We start from the raw sequence: 19,501 nt of genomic DNA, 5'->3' as shown, positions 1-19,501 counted from the left end.
GTTATATAATAACCACTTTTCAGATGTAGAAACCAAAGTCCAATGTTTTAAGATACTTGCCTAAGATTACACAGTGAGTGGTGGTAGGTATCCAAATCTCTTTGGGTTTGATTCTGGAACTCATATTTTTCCCACCAATAAAAGGACAACCACTACCATCTTCTTGCCTTTAAATTATTTTACAAAATCAAATGAAATAGTCCATTTAAAACAGTTAAACTATTGCTTTTATATGTAAGCAAAAAAAAAGCTGTCTTTTATCAAATGCTTCTGGCAAATTATTTCATGTACGTTCAAACACTAATGTAGTTGTTTTATCTTTATCAGAGCCACAAAGCAAGTTGGTTAACAGAACTGACACTCACTAGCGGCCCTGACTCAGTCACATAGGCACTCTCAGTATTCTATTTATCCATGAACAATTAGCATTAATATTAATCTGAATTAAACAAATTTCATTTCTATATAGCTCAATAGTAAATACAAATCAATATATCTCTTTAAGAAAAAAAAAAAAAGACCATGCCACTCAAGGTTTAAAAAAAAATTTTCCCCCAAATGCCAGTCAAAGGAAGCAGTGGGAGTGGAGAAGGAACAAAGAAATCTGTAACTGGTTGTGATAAACCGCCACTCAAGTTTTTAGAGACAAAACAGAATAATCTGATGAAATTTTTAAATGATGAATTAAAATGGACTAAATTTTCAATTTGAATTTTAAAAATTCAAATAAAACTTATCTCCTATTTAGGAAAAATAAAGTTGCAGATTCAGGAACAAGGAAAGAAATCTAAAATATTCCAGTTTAATATTTAATTCTAAGGCTGGGCACGGTGGCTCACGCCTGTAATCCCAGCACTTTGGGAGGCCAAGGCGGGCAGATCACGAGGTCAGGAGATCGAGACCATCCTGGCTAACACGGTGAAACCCCGTGTCTACTAAAAATACAAAAAAATTAGCTGGGCGTGGTGGCGGGCGCCTGTAGTCCCAGCTATTCAGGAGGCTGAGGCAGGAGAATGGCGTGAACCCGGCAGGCGGAGCTTGCAGTGAGCCAAGATGGCGCCACTGCACTCCAGCCTGGGCAACTGAGCGAGACTCCATCTCAGAAAAAAAAAATAAAATTTAAATTCTAGAAATTCAAAACACTTAAATATGTTCTTGGATATTTATAAATAATGACTTACAACCCACAGAACTGAATAAATTGTGGTCCCTTCTGGCAAGACAATGTTTTATATTAATATAATATTTAAAACAGTTGTAGAGAGTGTGAAAAAAAGTTTTAAAAGGAATTGCAAGAAGTGGAAATGTTTATAATATTATATTAAAAATTCACTTTTATATTCTCTATAGCTAATAAATGAGTCAAGGTTTAAATATTATGAACCACTTACATTGTTATTGAGGATAACAAAATCATTTATCGAGCATCCACTAAATACAAGGGACTGAATAAATGCTATCTCCTTTGATCTCTATAGCTTAATAAAGCAACTGTTTTAACTCCATATTAGGAAACAAACACAAAAAAGGCTAATTAACCTATCTAGGTAACAAAGCTGGTGAATGGATGGAAGCAGAATTCAACTTCAGACCACTCTGGAGGCTCAAAGCTCTGTGCTTCTCATTTTAATACAGTGACATGTCTGAACGATATTATCAAATTGGATTTTGCTGATGATGAATTTAAGTTATGTTATTGATAAACTCGGTGAAAATGTATCAAATCCACAATGAGGAAACACTAAGGAAAAAAAGTCTTGGATCTTAGAGCACGTTTGGGGGGGATTATTTATTACAAGTAAAACTAAAATTATACGTTTTCTATAGTTAATTTGGAAAATCAGCTATGCAAATGAGAGCTAGCCATCAGTCCTAGATTTTGAAAAAAATGCCATATATAGTTAAAATGGTGAAAGAACAATTAAACAATTTAAGCAAAATTAATTGCTAAAATTTTATGTTCCTATTTTCCCTTCAGAGATAAAAATTTGCAAGCTCACTATAATAAATACATATAGGTTAACTATACTAATTACATATAACTATTAAACATAAAAACTTTTGATAAAAGTTTGGACAAAGTTCAGAATTAAAATTTGATCTATTCAGAATACTAGAAATCTTTTATTTTTTAAGTTGGTGGTGGGAATAGGAAGAGTTTATAGGTAATTTTAATGACTATGTTTCAGATTTAACTTAAAGCAATTCTAGAGTAGGAAAATATCATTTTGATTGTTAAAAGAATAGATTATATGTCTTACATGTTTGTTAGACATAAACATACATACAATTAGAATATACTAATAAATACTACAGCTTTCTGTTAATTTTGCAGAAGGATTAAAACACAATCTACACCATAAAATTTTCAACTAATCCTGTCTTTTATCTTGGGTCACCAGCCTACTCCTCTCCTGTATTTTCTTCATTAGCATTGAAACATAATAATATAATGGTTGTGATCACAGTCTCTCTGGAGTCAGCCAGCCAGAGTTCAAATAAGAGGTTTACCGCTTTCCAGCTAAGTGATATCAGATAACTTATTTTACCTCTCTATGTTTAGTTTCTCATTTGTAAAACAGGGACAACAATAGTACTTATGTCACAGGCATATTAAGATGATTAAATGAGTTAACATAGGTAACATACTTGGAAAAATTCTTGGCCCAATAAAATATTAGCTACTACTATTATTATTCTATTTCTTATCTTTGAAAACACCACAAATTATCACATAGCTTGTCAACTAGGAACCAAATGAACATTCAATTCAAGCTGTTTGGGGACTTGTTCTCTTCTCATAAGGCATCTCCAGCAGTGAACTTTTATGTCATCCATATGAACGGTAATGGTCTTCTCTCCTTAGTCCTGATATTGACAATAAACATCAATAGGAGAAATCAAGAAAAATGAAAAGCAAAAGATGTCTACTATATACTTAACTACACTTTTCATCCCTATTGATTATTGTAAATAAGGTTAAAAAAAAAAAGAGGCGCCAAATGTGAACAAAACCATGATTGTTATTAGTAGAGAACCCAGTCTGTAAAATATTTTCTGGACAGGAGGGAACACAGGGACTATGCCCTACCCACTGGCTACCAACTAAATGAGGAGAGACCGTTTCACATTACCAGAATCCAGGAGCACACTCAGAAGTAAAAGGTGATATTCTGATAATCAGCTGCAGCCATATTACTGAAATTTGCTTAGTTGTGATAGTGGCTGTTGTTATGGACTGAAGTGTGTTCCTCCAATATCAATATGTTGAAGCCCTTATCTCCAGTACCCCAGGATATGGATATATTTGGAGATAAGGGCTTTACAGAGGTAATTTAGAGTAAATGAAGCCATTGGCATGGGCCCTAATACAATCTTCTGCCAGGGTAAAAGATGTAAAATTCTAGTCCCAGTTTCATCTTTATGTGACTTTGGGTCAATCTATGGGAGCTGAAATCAATGCCACAATTTATTGTTAGAAAAGTCATGAGAAGTGGACTGGAAATATCTGAAAATCTCTGACTGATGAAAAGACAGCTTGTGTTATCAAAAATCCATCTCGTTAATTAGGTTTAGTGTTCAGTTGAAACCACCTTCAAAAAATTTTAAAACTCTGTCTACAAAACAGCATATTCTTATCTTAGCTAGTGAGTCCGTGTAGATAAGGTGTTTTCAAGCCTCTTCTGTGATATACTAGCCAAGCAATGGATGGATCCTCATTCATGACTAAAGAGACATTTTTGGCAAAGTGATCTGAGATGAGCTGGTAAAGTTAGGCCGGGGGACCATGGGATCCTAACTTCATTATTCAGGAAATTCTGAAAAACACCAACCACAGTGCACCCCAAGAGTTCATCACAACACTCTGAGTTTCCTCAAATCCAGCACTTTTTTTTTTGTTACTGGGTATTGGCTGTTGTTATGGGGTGAATTGTGTTCTCCAAAAATGTGTATGTTGAAGCCCTAACCTCCAGTACTGCAGAATGTGGATATATTAGGAGATAAGGGCTTTAAAGAGGTAATTTAGAGTAAATGAAGCCATTGGCATGAGCCCTAATACAATCTGAATAGTGTCCTAATAAGAAGAGAAAATTTGGGGCTGGCACCATGGCTCATGCCTGTAATGCCAGCACTTCAGAAGGCTGAGGCGGGTGAATCACTTGAGCCCAGGAGTTCCAGACCAGCCTGGGCAACATGGTGAAACCCCGTCTCTACAAAAAATACAAAAATCACCCAGGATGACGGCACACGCCTGTATTCCCAGCTACTCAGGAGGCTGAGGTAGGAGAATCACCTGAGCTTGGGGAGGTTGAGGCTGCAGTGAGCCAAGATCATGCCACTGCACTCCAGCCTGGGCACAGGGAGTGAGACCCTCTCTCAAAAAAAAAAAAAAAAAGAAAGAAGAAATTTGGACAAAGTGACACCAAGGATACATGTGCACAGAACAATCACATGAAGAGTCAGCCAAGCACACAAGCACAAGCTAAGGAGGGAGGCCTCAGAGGAAACCAACCCTGCCAGCACCTTGATCCTGGACTTCAGTTTCTAGAACTATAAGAAAATAAAACATCTGTTGTTTAAGCCACTCAGTCTGTGGTATTTTGTTATGGTGGCTCTAGCTAACTAACATTCAGCTGCCATCCACAGATACTGGTGGCCCAGCTTTGGGGAGCCATGTACCTCATGATTAGAAGCAAGATGGAACATTCCCCAGAATATGGGAATGATGTGGAATTCACTGAGTAGTTAGTTGTTAAATACTTTCTTTGCTTTGCTTTCTAGCATTATGCTTCCTTGGATGATAATCTTAGTACTTGGGATGCTGGTACTGCTGGAGGCCAGTTCTATGATCAGGGTTAACAATGTACTAAAGGGAGCCAGAAACAAGTATGACAAACGGGTTCATTTTTCTACTTAGTGAGGCTCCTGTGAGGTTCAAACAGGTCCTCAATGAATCCTGTGCCCTCTATGAAACCAGATACTGCCAGCTAAATCTACACAATACCTAATGATTCTCCAAATACTTTATGAATGTTCTTCTCCAACTGATTAATCTTACCTCACTATCAGGTATCTACTATTTTTCCACTGTAATATGACAAATAGGATCACTCTCGTTAACAAGGAAGGAGCAACTGAAGAGCTGAGAGTAAAAGAAACAAAAGATCGTATCCTCCCACCATTTACTCATACTGCCATTAAGATCTCAATATACCCAATCAAGGCTGAGACACAAGCCTATTACTGCCTCATTACAAGCATACCTCACTAGATGCAGAGACTTTTGACAATAGATCAACAACATTAAAGAAATGCTCTATTTATAAGAACCTTGAGGAAAAAAACTTTGAAGCATAAGAAAAATCCTTTTATTATACACATTTAATTGATCAACTTTGAAAGTGCACAGTTTTGTATATTAGACTTTTAATAAAAACAGGACAAACCAAATCACAACATACTACCCCAAAATCCATTAGGATGACTACTATTTAAAAAAAAAAAAAAAGCAGAAAATCACAGGCATTGGTGAGGATGTGGAGAAATTGGAACCCTTGTGCACTCTTGTTGGGAATTAAAATGTACAGCCAGCTGTGATGAAAAACAGTATGGTAGTTCCTGACAATATTAAAAATAGGATTACCATACGGTCCAGTGTACTTCTGGCTATACACCTAAAAAATTAAAAGCAAAGACTCAAATAGGTATTTGTTCATCCATGTTCATAGCAGCATTATTCACAATAGCCAAGGGGTGGAAGCAAACTAAGGGTCCACTGATGCATGAATGGGGAAAAATGTGGTATACACATATAATGGAATATATTATGCTTTAAAAAGGAAGGAAATTCTGACACATGCCACAACATAGATGAATATTTAAAACATTACACTAAGTGTAATAAGCCAGTCACAAAAGGACAAATAGTGTATGATTTTACTCATATTAGGTACCTAAAGTAGTCAAATTCAGGTGGTTGTCAAGGGCTGAAGGGGATGGAAAACTGGGGAGTTAATATAATGGGTACAGAGTTTCAGTTTTACGAGATGAAAAGAATTCTGTGGATAGATAGTGGTGACAGCAGCACAAGAGCAGGAATGTTCTCAATGCCACTAAACCGTATACTTAAAAATGGTTAAGAAGATAAACTGTAAGTTATATGCATTTTCCCACAATTAAAAATTTTAAATATTAACATTATTTTAAGGAAGGAAAACCGTGATCAAAAAAATAAGGAGGTTTTTGAGGAACCAAAGACTTTGTAGAATTACTGTGGGGAAAGAGTCAAGAAAAATTTCATGTGTCATTATTTGTCATGTGTCATGTGATTATTACAGAATCACTTTTGCTCTGGTATTTATATTATTATGAATGGTTTTATCTTTTCATGTATAATCTAAGAAACATTTATACTACTGACTTGACTCTTTGTTTTTCCAAGGAAGTCTAATACACATATTCATAAACACAACCCTTTCACTTGACCTTGTGATCTCCTCTAGCTACAATTACATTCTTTTACTATTTTTACTTCCTTACCTCCAAGTCACTCCTTAGCCTACTATCTAACATTTGCCCCAACATTCTCATGAAACTGCCACCGCCAAATTCACCAATGACTTCTGTGCTTTTCAATCTAATGGACACTTTTAAACCATATCTTATTTGGCCTCTCAGTAGTAGCATGATGATGTTAAAGATTCATTTTCTTTTGGAACTTATTCCTTCCTTGACATTTGTGATGCTAGTCTTATGAACATTTCCTTCTGCTCCTCCTCTTCAATCCTCATTTACAGTTCTGTAGTATTAAACTGGACTAATTTATCTACACTGCACAGCCATTGACCAGTAAAAGAAAAGCATGAGTACTCTAGCACCATTTAAAGATAAATGTCTTGGGTTCTCTCATCCTGTACCTACCCTTATCCTTTGTTCTCCAATCCTTTCCAGTGTTTTCTAGACTCCTTCCTGGTTTTTACCTCAAATTTCTGGCATCACAGTTGCCCCTTGGGCTTAAGGATGATTTCCCTTATCTATTTGGTACCACCTAAGCCATCATGTGCACTCATCCTCTAAAATAAATAACCATTGTTTTCCTTTCCCATCCTAAGCTTAAAAATAACAAGTATGCTTTGTGAGTTCCAAGGCATTTCTAAAGTACTCACCCATGACTCTTGCTATATAACAGATTAGATTAATACCCACCCTAAGAGATGGTTTGCAAACGTACTGCTGATAGAACCTTAGTGACCATCCAGTTCTAATCAAGGTCATCAGGGTATCTCTCTTTAGGGAAATATGAATGTAATGTAAGTACTATAAATAATCTTGAAATCTGTCCAATTGTGTTTCAGTATTTTTAGATAACTTTATTATGCTGACATAATTGACAAGAAGTAAGTGGTCTAAACAGATAAAGGGATTCAAGAACAAGAATTTCCCTATAGAGGGAAAAGTCTGCCCTATTTGGCAAATAAAGCTTTAGAGTAGAAAAGAGAGTACTTTAGCTTAAGGTCAATGTCCCCAGGAGTCAGCAAGAAAACTTTGATAGTAATCTAGTTTGCAGTGTAAATTTCCCTCTAGGAGTCACTCAATTTATAAATATTTTGATTCAGTTGACAGTTACTGATCTCAACATAAAAGTAAGTGGGCATTCTGATGTATCAGCCTCATTTTGTTCAAATCTGATTATTGTGAATCTAAGTTCTCAGTAAACTGGTAAAATAAAATTCCTAAACTTGCAAATCTGGGGACTAAACTCTGTACCTATGACTATGCAATTATGGTATGAAGATTCAAATGACCACGTAGTTTCTTCCTCTCTATTTATTCCTGCACCTATTGATTGCTGATTGTATGTTAACTCCTATGAGAGATGGCAATATATCAAAAAGCAAAATAGTTCTTTCCATTAAAGAGCTTCCAGGCCAGTCTGTCTTTAAAACAGTTAACATAAACAAGAGAAAGGCAGCACACGAAATTGATTAATATTGGCTGACTTTGAGGAGGAGAACAGGGAGTTGAGGTAAAAAGGGTGAAAAGAAAAACTTTCACCTTTTATTTTAAAGTAACATAAAGGTATTATGTACATTTTAAGTGATCAAAAAATTTTAATTGGGAAGAGATTTAGTGAATCAGAAAATAAGTCTGAGGAAATTATTCAGAAGGCAACATCAAAGAATAAAAGAGATGGAAAAAATAAAATAACAGTCAAGAGATATGGCTGATAGAATGACGAGAGCCAGGAATAGGAATTCCATATAAGAGAACTAAGGAGAATGGTAGAGAGGCACTATTTGGAGAGGTGAGGAGTGAGAATTTCCAGAACTGAAGATATGTCTTCAGACTGAAAAAAGCATACCACATCTCAAGAGAGATAAGCAAAACAAAATCCATACCCAGATATATTATGATAGAATTGTAAACACAAAACATACAGAGAAAAATCTTGAAAGCATTCAGGAGAAAAAAAAGGCATTAGCTAGCAAAAAAAGCAACATGTTGACAGCAGACTTCCCATTTCCAAGAGGACAGAAGATAATAAAATTATATTTTCAAACTACTTAGGGAAAATAATAGTCAATCTAGAATCCATAGCCAGCAAAATTATCAATCAAGAATGAAAGCAAAATAAAAACACGTCAGTATATTTACCATTAAAAGATCTTCACTGAAAGAACTACTAAAATTTTGCTTCATTAAATAGAAAGCTGAATCCCAGAAAATGAGTAAAATGAAGGAAGCAATGGAAATTTTTAAAAAACTAATAAAGCATGATAAATAAGCATGATAAAGCTAAACACAACAAAAACTGTGTTATATAGTAACAAATAATTTGGAGTGGTGATTTAAAACAACATGGAACATTATATAATGTTAGAAAATAAGGAGAGGAAAGATGAGAGGATGGAGATCAGAACTCAAAGTGTTCTAAGATCCTTGCTATATTCAGGATCTGAATAATACTGACACTTCAGACTTTATAAATCAAGTACACATTTATTACGTTAAGAATAACAATAATAATGAAATAGAAATAAAAGGTACAACCTCCGAACTAGTAGAGAGATAAAAAGGAGAATTAGAAAAACTAACAACAGTATGTCTTGCCCAATCCAATAAAAGGCAAAAAGAACAAAGAAAAAGTATGATAAAGAGGAAAGACAGGCTGATCCAAGTGTAGTGGCATTTACAACTAATTGACCACAACCAGTTACAACAGATTTCTTTGTTCTTTCTCCACTCCCACTGCTTCACTTGACTGGACTTAAAAAAAAATAAAATAATAAAACAAAAACAAGAGGAAAGATTTTTTAAATGATAGAAATTAGTCCAAATACAATATACCAATAATCACAATAAAAAATATATAAATTGGACAGGAGCCAAGATGGCCGAATAGGAACAGCTCTGGTCTACAGCTACCAGCGTGAGCGACGCAGAAGGCGGTGATTTCTGCATTTCCATCTGAGATACCAGGTTCATCTCACTAGGGAGTGCCAGACAGTGGGCACAGGTCAGTGGGTGCGCGCACCATGTGCGAGCCGAAGCAGGGCGAGGCATTGCCTCACTTGGGAAGCGCAAGGGGTCAGGGAGTTCCCTTTCCGAGTCAAAGAAAGGGGTGACAGACGCGCCTGGAAAATCGGGTCACTCCCACCCGAATACTGCGCTTTTCCGACCGGCTTAAAAAACGGCGCACCACGAGATTATATCCCGCACCTGGCTCGGAGGGTCCTACGCCCACGGAGTCTCGCTGATTGCTAGCACAGCAGTCTGAGATCAAACTGCAAGGCGGCAGCGAGGCTGGGGGAGGGGCGCCCTCCATTGCCCAGGCTTGCTTAGGTAAACAAAGCAGCCAGGAAGCTCGAACTGGGTGGAGCCCACCACAGCTCAAGGAGGCCTGCCTGCCTCTGTAGGCTCCACCTCTGGGGGCAGGGCACAGACAAACAAAAAGACAGCAGTAACCTCTGCAGACTTAAATGTCCCTGTCTGACAGCTTTGAAGAGAGCAGTGGTTCTCCCAGCACACAGCTGGAGATATGAGAACGGGCAGACTGCCTCCTCAAGTGGGTCCCTGACACCTGACCCCCGAGCAGCCTAACTGGGAGGCACCCCCCAGCAGGGGCACACTGACACCTCACACGGCAGGGTATTCCAACACACCTGAAGCTGAGGGTCCTGTCTGTTAGAAGGAAAACTAACAAGCAGAAAGGACAGCCACATCAAAAACCCATCTGTACATCACCATCATCAAAGACCAAAAGTAAATAAAACCACAAAGATGGGGAAAAAACAGAACAGAAAAACTGGAAACTCTAAAAAGCAGAGCACCTCTCCTCTTCCAAAGGAACGCAGTTCCTCACCAGCAATGGAACAAAGCTGGATGGAGAATGACTTTGACGAGCTGAGAAAAGAACGCTTCAGACGATCAAATTACTCTGAGCTACGGGAGGACATTCAAACCAAAGGCAAAGAAGTTGAAAACTTTGAAAAAAATTTAAAAGAATGTATAACTAGAATAACCAATACAGAGAAGTGCTTAAAGGAGCTGATGGAGCTGAAAACCAAGGCTCGAGAACTACGTGAAGAATGCAGAAGCCTCAGGAGCCAATGCGATCAACTGGAAGAAAGGGTATCAGCAATGGAAGATGAAATGAATGAAATGAAGCGAGAAGGCAAGTTTAGAGAAAAAAGAATAAAAAGAAATGAGCAAAGCCTCCAGGAAATATGGGACTATGTGAAAAGACCAAATCTACGTCTGATTGGTGTACCTGAAAGTGATGGGGAGAATGGAACCAAGTTGGAAAACACTCTGCAGGATATTATCCAGGAGAACTTCCCCAATCTAGCAAGGCAGGCCAACATTCAGATTCAGGAAATACAGAGAATGCCACAAAGATACTCCTCGAGAAGAGCAACTCCAAGACACATAATTGTCAGATTCACCAAACTTGAAATGAAGGAAAAAATGTTAAGGGCAGCCAGAGAGAAAGGTCGGGTTACCCACAAAGGGAAGCCCATCAGACTAACAGCGGATCTCTCGGCAGAAACCCTACAAGCCAGAAGAGAGTGGGGGCCAATATTCAACATTCTTAAAGAAAAGAATTTTCAACCCAGAATTTCATATCCAGCCAAACTAAGCTTCATAAGCGAAGGAGAAATAAAATACTTTACAGACAAGCAAATGCTGAGAGATTTTGTCATCACCAGGCCTGCCCTAAAAGAGCTCCTGAAGGAAGCGCTAAACATGGAAACGAACAACCGGTACCAGCCGCTGCAAAATCATGCCAAAATGTAAAGACCATCAAGACTAGGAAGAAACTGCATCAACTAATGAGCAAAATCACCAGCTAACATCATAATGACAGGGTCAAATTCACACATAACAATATTAACTTTAAACGTAAATGGACTAAATGCTCCAATTAAAAGACACAGACTGGCAAATTGGATAAAGAGTCAAGACCCATCAGTGTGCTGTATTCAGGAAACCCATCTCACGTGCAGAGACACACATAGGCTCAAAATAAAAGGATGGAGGAAGATCTACCAAGCAAATGGAAAACAAAAAAAGGCAGGGGTTGCAATCCTAGTCTCTGATAAAACAGACTTTAAACCAACAAAGATCAAAAGAGACAAAGAAGGCCATTACATAATGGTAAAGGGATCAATTCAACAAGAAGAGCTAACTATCCTAAATATATATGCACCCAATACAGGAGCACCAAGATTCATAAAGCAAGTCCTGAGTGACCTACAAAGAGACTTAGACTCCCACACATTAATAATGGGAGATTTTAACACCCCACTGTCAACATTAGACAGATCAACGTGACAGAAAGTCAACAAGGATACCCAGGAATTGAACTCAGCTCTGCACCAAGTGGACCTAATAGACATCTACAGAACTCTCCACCCCAAATCAACAGAATATACATTTTTTTCAGCACCACACCACACCTATTCCAAAACTGACCACATACTTGGAAGTAAAGCTCTCCTCAACAGATGTAAAAGAACAGAAATTATAACAAACTGTCTCTCAGACCACAGTGCAATCAAACTAGAACTCAGGATTAAGAAACTCACTCAAAACCCCTCAACTACATGGAAACTGAACAACCTGCTCCTGAATGACTACTGGGTACATAACGAAATGAAGGCAGAAATAAAGATGTTCTTTGAAACCAACGAGAACAAAGACACAACATACCAGAATCTCTGGGACGCATTCAACGCAGTGTGTAGAGGGAATTTTATAGCATTAAATGCCCACAAGAGAAAGCAGGAAAGATCCAAAACTGACACCCTAACATCACAATTAAAAGAACTAGAAAAGCAAGAGCAAACACATTCAAAAGCTAGCAGAAGGCAAGAAATAACTAAAATCAGAGCAGAACTGAAGGAAATAGAGACACAAAAAACCCTTCAAAAAATTAATGAATCCAGGAGCTGGTTTTTTGAAAGGATCAACAAAATTGATAGACTGCTAGCAAGACTAATAAAGAAAAAAAGAAAGAAGAATCAAATAGACACAATAAAAAATGATAAAGGGGATATCACCACCAATCCCACAGAAATACAAACTACCATCAGAGAATACTACAAACACCTCTACGCAAATAAACTAGAAAATCTAGAAGAAATGGATAAATTCCTCGACACATACACTCTCCCAAGACTAAACCAGGAAGAAGTTGAATCTCTGAATAGACCAATAACAGGATCTGAAATTGTGGCAATAATCAGTAGCTTACCAACCAAAAGGAGTCCAGGACCAGATGGATTCACAGCCGAATTCTACCAGAGGTACAAGGAGGAACTGGTACCATTCCTTCTGAAACTATTCCAATCAATAGAAAAAGAGGGAATCCTCCCTAACTCTTTTTATGAGGCCAGCATCATTCTGATACCAAAGCCAGGCAGAGACACAACAAAAAAAGAGAATTTTAGACCAATATCCTTGATGAACATTGATGCAAAAATCCTCAATAAAATACTGGCAAAACGAATCCAGCAGCACATCAAAAAGCTTATCCACCATGATCAAGTGGGCTTCATCCCTGGGATGCAAGGCTGGTTCAATATACGCAAATCAATAAATGTAATCCAGCATATAAACAGAGCCAAAGACAAAAACCACATGATTATCTCAATAGATGCAGAAAAAGCCTTTGACAAAATTCAACAACCCTTCATGCTAAAAACTCTCAATAAATTAGGTATTGATGGGACATATTTCAAAATAATAAGAGCTATCTATGACAAACCCACAGCCAATATCATACTGAATGGACAAAAACTGGAAGCATTCCCTTTGAAAATTGGCACAAGACAGGGATGCCCTCTCTCACCACTCCTATTCAACATGGTGTTGGAAGTTCTGGCCAGGGCAATTAGGCAGGAGAAGGAAATAAAAGGTATTCAATTAGGAAAAGAGAAGTCAAATTGTCCCTGTTTGCAGATGACATGATTGTATATCTAGAAAACCCCATCGTCTCAGCCGAAAATCTCCTTAAGCGGATAAGCAACTTCAGCAAAGTCTCAGGATACAAAATCAATGTACAAAAATCACAAGCATTCTTATACACCAACAACAAACAGAGAGCCAAATCATGAGTGAACTCCCATTCACAATTGCTTCAAAGAGAATAAAATACCTAGGAATCCAACTTACAAGGGATGTGAAGGACCTCTTCAAGGAGAACTACAAACCACTGCTCAAGGAAATAAAAGAGGATACAAACAAATGGAAGAACATTCCATGCTCATGGATAGGAAGAATCAATATTGTGAAAATGGCCATACTGCCCAAGGTAATTTACAGATTCAATGCCATCCCCATCAAGCTACCAATGCCTTTCTTCACAGAATTGGAAAAAACTACTTTAAAGTTCATATGGAACCAAAAAAGAGCCTGCATTGCCAAGTCAATCCTAAGCCAAAAGAACAAAGCTGGAGGTATCACGCTACCTGACTTCAAACTATACTACAAGGCTACAGTAACCAAAACAGCATGGTACTGGTACCAAAACAGAGATATAGATCAATGGAACAGAACAGAGCCCTCAGAAATAACGCCGCATATCTACAACTATCTGATCTTTGACAAACCTGAGAAAAACAAGCAATGGGGAAAGGATTCCCTATTTAATAAATGGTGCTGGGAAAACTGGCTAGCCATATGTAGAAAGCTGAAACTGGATCCCTTCCTTACACCTTATACAAAAATCAATTCAAGATGGATTAAAGACTTAAACGTTAGACCTAAAACCATAAAAACCCTAGAAGAAAACCTAGGCATTACCATTCAGGACATAGGCATGGGCAAGGACTTCATGTCTAAAACACCAAAAGCAATGGCAACAAAAGCCAAAATTGACAAATGGGATCTAATTAAACTCAAGAGCTTCTGTACAGCAAAAGAAACTACCAACAGAGTGAACAGGCAACCTACAAAATGGGAGAAAATTTTCATAACCTACTCATCTGACAAAGGGCTAATATCCAGAATCTACAATGAACTCAAGCAAATTTACAAGAAAAAAACAAACAACCCCATCAAAAAGTGGGCGAAGGACATGAACAGACACTTCTCAAAAGAAGACATTTATGCAGCCAAAAAACACATGAAAAAATGCTCATTATCACTGGCCATCAGAGAAATGCAAATCAAAACCACAATGGGATACCATCTCACACCAGTTAGAATGGCAATCATTAAAAGGTCAGGAAACAACAGGTGCTGGAGAGGATGTGGAGAAATAGGAACACTTTTACACTGTTGGTGGGACTATAAACTAGTTCAACCATTGTGGAAGTCAGTGTGGCAATTCCTCAGGGATCTAGAACTGGAAATACCATTTGACCCAGCCATCCCATTACTGGGTATATACCCAAAGGACTATAAATCATGCTGCTATAAAGACACATGCACACGTATGTTTATTGCAGCATTATTCACAATAGCAAAGACTTGGAACCAACCCAAATGTCCACCAATGATAGACTGGATTAAGAAAATGTGGCACATATACACCATGGAATACTATGCAGCCATAAAAAATGATGAGTTCATGTCCGGATGAAATTGGAAATCATCATTCTCAGTAAACTATCGCAAGAACAAAAAACCAAACACCGCATATTCTCACTCATAGGTGGGAATTGAACAATGAGATCACATGGACACAGGAAGGGGAATATCACACTCTGGGGACTGTTGTGGGGTGGGTGGAGGGGGGAGGGATAGCATTGGGAGATATACCTAATGCTAGATGACGAGTTAGTGGGTGCAGCGCACCAGCATGGCACATGTATACATATGTAACTAACCTGCACAATGTGCACATGTACCCTAAAATTTAAAGTATAATAAAAAAAATATATATATATATAAATTGTTTTACTTATCAAGCAAAAAACAAATTGTCTGATTGGATAGATAAAATCTAGCTAAAGAAAATAATGACTCCAAATGGTTGATGAAAAAGCAAAGAAAAAATACTAATAACAACAAAAAGCTGGTCTAGCAGTATTAATATATGACAAAACAAACTTTTAGGCAGAAAGTCTCACTAGCAGTAAAGAGGATCAATTCATCAGAAAGAGATAACCTCAAAATATGCAAAGAAAAATTGGCAGCATTACAATAAGAAATTGAAAATCCCACAATTACAGTAGGAAATTTTTAACATAAATCATAAAACTGATCAAAGACAAAACTCAGCAAGTATATAATAATATGGACAACATAAAATCAATTTTTTTCTTTAGGCTAAAGTGAAGCAGTGGGAGTGGAGAAGGAACAAAAGAATCTGTAACTGTCTGTGATCAGTTAGTTGTAAACACCACTGCACTCAGACCAGCCTGAACAAATTTGATCTAATGGACACATTTAGAATTGATGTAGCTTTATAAAAAGTAAAAGGAAAAAACAGAAAGAAGTTAGGTGGCACCAGTTCAGGATGTTGTGGGTTTATTAATTTATTTATTTTTTTAGGTTTTCTTGGAGTCTGTGATATTTGCATCTTGCAAATTCAAACCACATATGCTCTTTAATAAAAACTTTTCCATGCACACCACCATTAGGAAGAGCATCATTAAATCACTGACTTCTAAAGCCATAAAAGAATGGTTTTTCAGTTTCAAGAATTTAGATTTACTAGAGATAGCCTATATAAGTGTATCAACCATGTCAAACAAAGAAAAATATTTCCAGGCCGGGTGCAGTGGCTCATACCTGTAATCCCAGCACTTTGGGAGGCCGAGGAGGCCAGATAACCTGAGGTCAGGAGTTTGAGACCTGCCTGGCCAACATGGCGAAACCCTGTTTCTACTAAAAATACAAAAGTTAGCTGGGCATGGTGGTGCATGCCTGTAGTCCCAGCTACTTGGGAGGCTGAGAAAGAACAATCACTTGAACCCGGGAGGTGGAGGTTGCAGTGAGCCAAGATTGCACCACTGCACTCCAGCATGGGCGACACAGCAAGACTCCATCTCAAAAAATAAAATTAAATTAAATTAAAATTAAATTAAATAAATTATGAGTTTAGTTTTAGACATTTGGAGTCTAAGCTGAAAATTCACAACTGAACCAAGTAATGGGCACAAAGGAGTTGGGATGAGCTCACAGAGGGAAAGTGGAGTATAGAGAGAGGAAGAGGAGTGGTAGGCTGCATCTGGAGATACATGTAAGAAATGTTCCAAAATTTTCTTCACTTAGCAGTGTAAGAACTATTCAATATTTACCATTAACAGGAATGGCAGGAAAACATGGTCTAAAGATGAAGACAATAGCATTACTGTAAAACCTTTTGTTGAGACTCAGAAAGAGCTAAAGTGCCTCTTAGAATCATTCAGATACACAAAAGGCCCTTTAAGGGTCTTAAGAATGGTTGCCTCTCACATTCTTATGGTGACAGCTACGAGGGAGGCTGAGGCGAGAAGATCACTTCAGCCTAAGAGTTCGAGGCTGCAGTGAGCTATGATCACATCACCGCAACCCAGCCTGGATGACAGAGTGAGACACCAGTCTTTAAAAATAAATAAAATAAAATCATAAGAGCATTGTCCATACAGGTTCAAAGGGAGCCCAAGGTGAGAGGGTGGTTTATCTCAAAGAGATCTGTGGTTGTGACTTTTGTCTAACACAGTGAATCCCAATAAAGATTCATAGAAAACAAACAGCTTTACAGGATTGTTCTGGTAAAAGTACTACCACTTGGAATAAAAGAGAGAAGTAATACAAAAAGAAAAAGGTCTTTAGAATCCCTACCTTTTACAGGAAGGACACAGCTTGAGGAGGCTCCTCAATTGCAGCTTCCTTTTCTTATGGAAAAGTAAATCAGAAGCCAAAACCAAGAGCCCAGAGAGCAGAGTCAACAACAGTGGTGAATAATTCCCAGGCAGTCAGGCTGAGCCCTTATCAAGTACTAGCAACATGTGCATGGCTGGATTTTAGAACTGCTAGTGACTTCCTGTGTTCCCCTTTTGGAACACGAATGTTGAGAGTATTTACAAAGTATGGGGTGGGTGGTGGGGGATCAGTTTGTCTCTTTAGTTCACAGCACTTCCCATCTAGAGGAACGGTAGGTACTCAAGGAGCTCTGCTGAAGGAGCCATACCCAGGGAGCCTTGCCTCAATCACACCTGGACCTGATTCAAATAATGAGATTCTGGACTTTAACCTAATCCTATAAAGGGATAAGACTTGGGGATGTACAGGTCTTGTCAGTTGGAGGGATGTAAACTGCTGTGACCAGAAGGCAGACTGTATTTTCCAAGATGGCCACACGAGATCTCTCATCCCACATGTTCTTCTTACAGGGTAACACTGGCATTCCTATCAACAGGCAGGCCCCTCAACCTAGGCAGGTCTGTGACTGTAGGGGAAATGACACTATATGATTTCTGAGGCAATGCCATAACAGGCAACATAGCTTCCACCTCATATGGTGGGACACTCTTGGAAACCAGCCTGCAGCCTGCGACAAAGCTCAGGCTACATGAAGATGCCACATATTGGCGTTTCACTTGAGAGGCAGCATCAGCCAGCCTTAGAGGCTGGAGATCCAGCCTCTAAGTGTCTGGAGATAGTGTCTGGAGATCCAGACACTATCTGAATGCAGCTACACAAGAAATCTCAAGTGAGAATTTCCAAGATGAGTCTAGTCAACTCCCAAAACATTACAAAAAACAAATAATTGGTTGTTACTGTTTTAAGCCAATAAGTTTTGGGGTGATTTGTTATACAGCAATAGATACCAGAACATGAGAGTAAAGGTAAGGGAAATCAACCATCAGCTAGATAAACCATATGGTATGGAATTTATTTTCAGCTAATCTTTTGATTGGTTTAGCATAAAAAACTGCTGAACTGCTTTTGTCTTTTTTTTTTTTTTTTTTGGCTTAGTCGTATCTTCATTAGCTTTTTAGTGAAGGTTCCTTTTAGTGAAAGTTCTACTGCATGTAGTTAAATGAAGGATATTTTCCATATCTCAGCATGAAGAGAGGAGAGAGATTAGTATCTCCATTGATGGTAGACAGATATGACAGTGACAGCAGGAACCATCACCCCAGAACCAATGAAAGACACAGACCAGAGGGGGAGTGTAGAAATTCATAAGGAATAAATAGGGTGTGTAAACAATCATTCCTCACCAGGTGAATCATTCCAGCACAGAAGTTTCTAAGTTGAATAATTAACATACTAAATTTCTGAACATGGACTTCTATTCAGAATGACTTTCAATATAAAGTTGAAAATGCATGATACGAAAAATATGTTGGCCTGGATCATAAAATCGTATCCTGCAACTTCTCTGAAAATCCATGTATTTATGAAAAAAAATTGTTATTGGTTAATTGTATTGAAAGTAAGTTGAGTTTAATTTGTTTTGTGTGAGAACATTGTTGTTTGCATATTAGTCCCTAAGATTAAACATGTAAGGAAAGAGTACAATTACAGTTTAATTGGTGGAAACACACTGAACTACAGATACCCTCTGCTTCTTTCTATACGGGAAATACATTACAGGGTCATATCCACTTCTCTTAATTGTTCACAACTGCTTCCAAGCAATCTGAAGGAACTGTTGACTTTTTGAAAATAACCATAGTAATCATGTACTGTGATCCTATATTGCAGAGGGAATCCTAACAAAGCACCATGAATGCAGAGTTTCAAAATGCAAAAAAGCCTGAAATAACTATTAATTTAGGAAAAGGAAGAAGAGGCCCAAAAGAAAGCACTGTCACCAACTCATACTGTAATAGCAAATAAACAAATAGTCTGCTTTTTAGGAAGGAAAAAAAAACACTTCTAGAAGCAAATTACATAAAATTTAGTTCCATGACTGAAATATTCTATTTTTATTTTGTAGCAGAGCTTGTTGAAACCTAAATGAAAGCTTACCCAGAAATCTCATATATTTCTAAAACAGACAAAGGAGAGCCATACATACTGAAGCAAAGTGCAGGTCTGGAGAACAATGCACTCA

The 19,501-nt window shown here is 37.8% G+C and overlaps 1 protein-coding gene across 15 annotated transcripts in view, besides 1 other annotated feature; it reads right to left on the bottom strand.

Annotated features, from left to right (window-relative positions):
• The window catches only part of SWT1 (SWT1 RNA endoribonuclease homolog), a 134,722-nt gene that overhangs the window by 24,599 nt on the left and 90,622 nt on the right, over positions 1 to 19,501 (bottom strand). For 2 of the 15 annotated variants that reach the window (XM_047423246.1, XM_017001528.3), the window contains exon 17: positions 61 to 167. The exons of 11 other annotated variants lie outside the window; for them this stretch is intronic. In XM_047423246.1, the coding sequence (XP_047279202.1) occupies positions 61 to 167 (107 nt within the window). Of the gene's footprint in view, positions 1 to 60; positions 168 to 2,100; positions 2,869 to 19,501 lie in introns of those variants that run through there. 2 more of the 15 variants (XM_017001530.3, XM_047423249.1) reach the window with 1 other exon arrangement.
• Positions 9,679 to 10,289: an enhancer, noted in NCBI's record as "NANOG-H3K27ac-H3K4me1 hESC enhancer chr1:185226026-185226636 (GRCh37/hg19 assembly coordinates)". NCBI's record gives its function as "activates a minimal SCP1, AML or CMV promoter by ChIP-STARR-seq in primed H9 embryonic stem cells {active_cell/tissue: H9 hESC(primed)}" and the evidence as "EXISTENCE:reporter gene assay evidence [ECO:0000049][PMID:30033119]".

This window comes from Homo sapiens, chromosome 1, assembly GCF_000001405.40.
Source record: "Homo sapiens chromosome 1, GRCh38.p14 Primary Assembly".
Lineage (NCBI taxonomy): Eukaryota > Metazoa > Chordata > Mammalia > Primates > Hominidae > Homo > Homo sapiens.
Note: the sequence above shows the minus strand (reverse complement) of the source record. Positions and strands in the feature narration are given on the sequence as shown.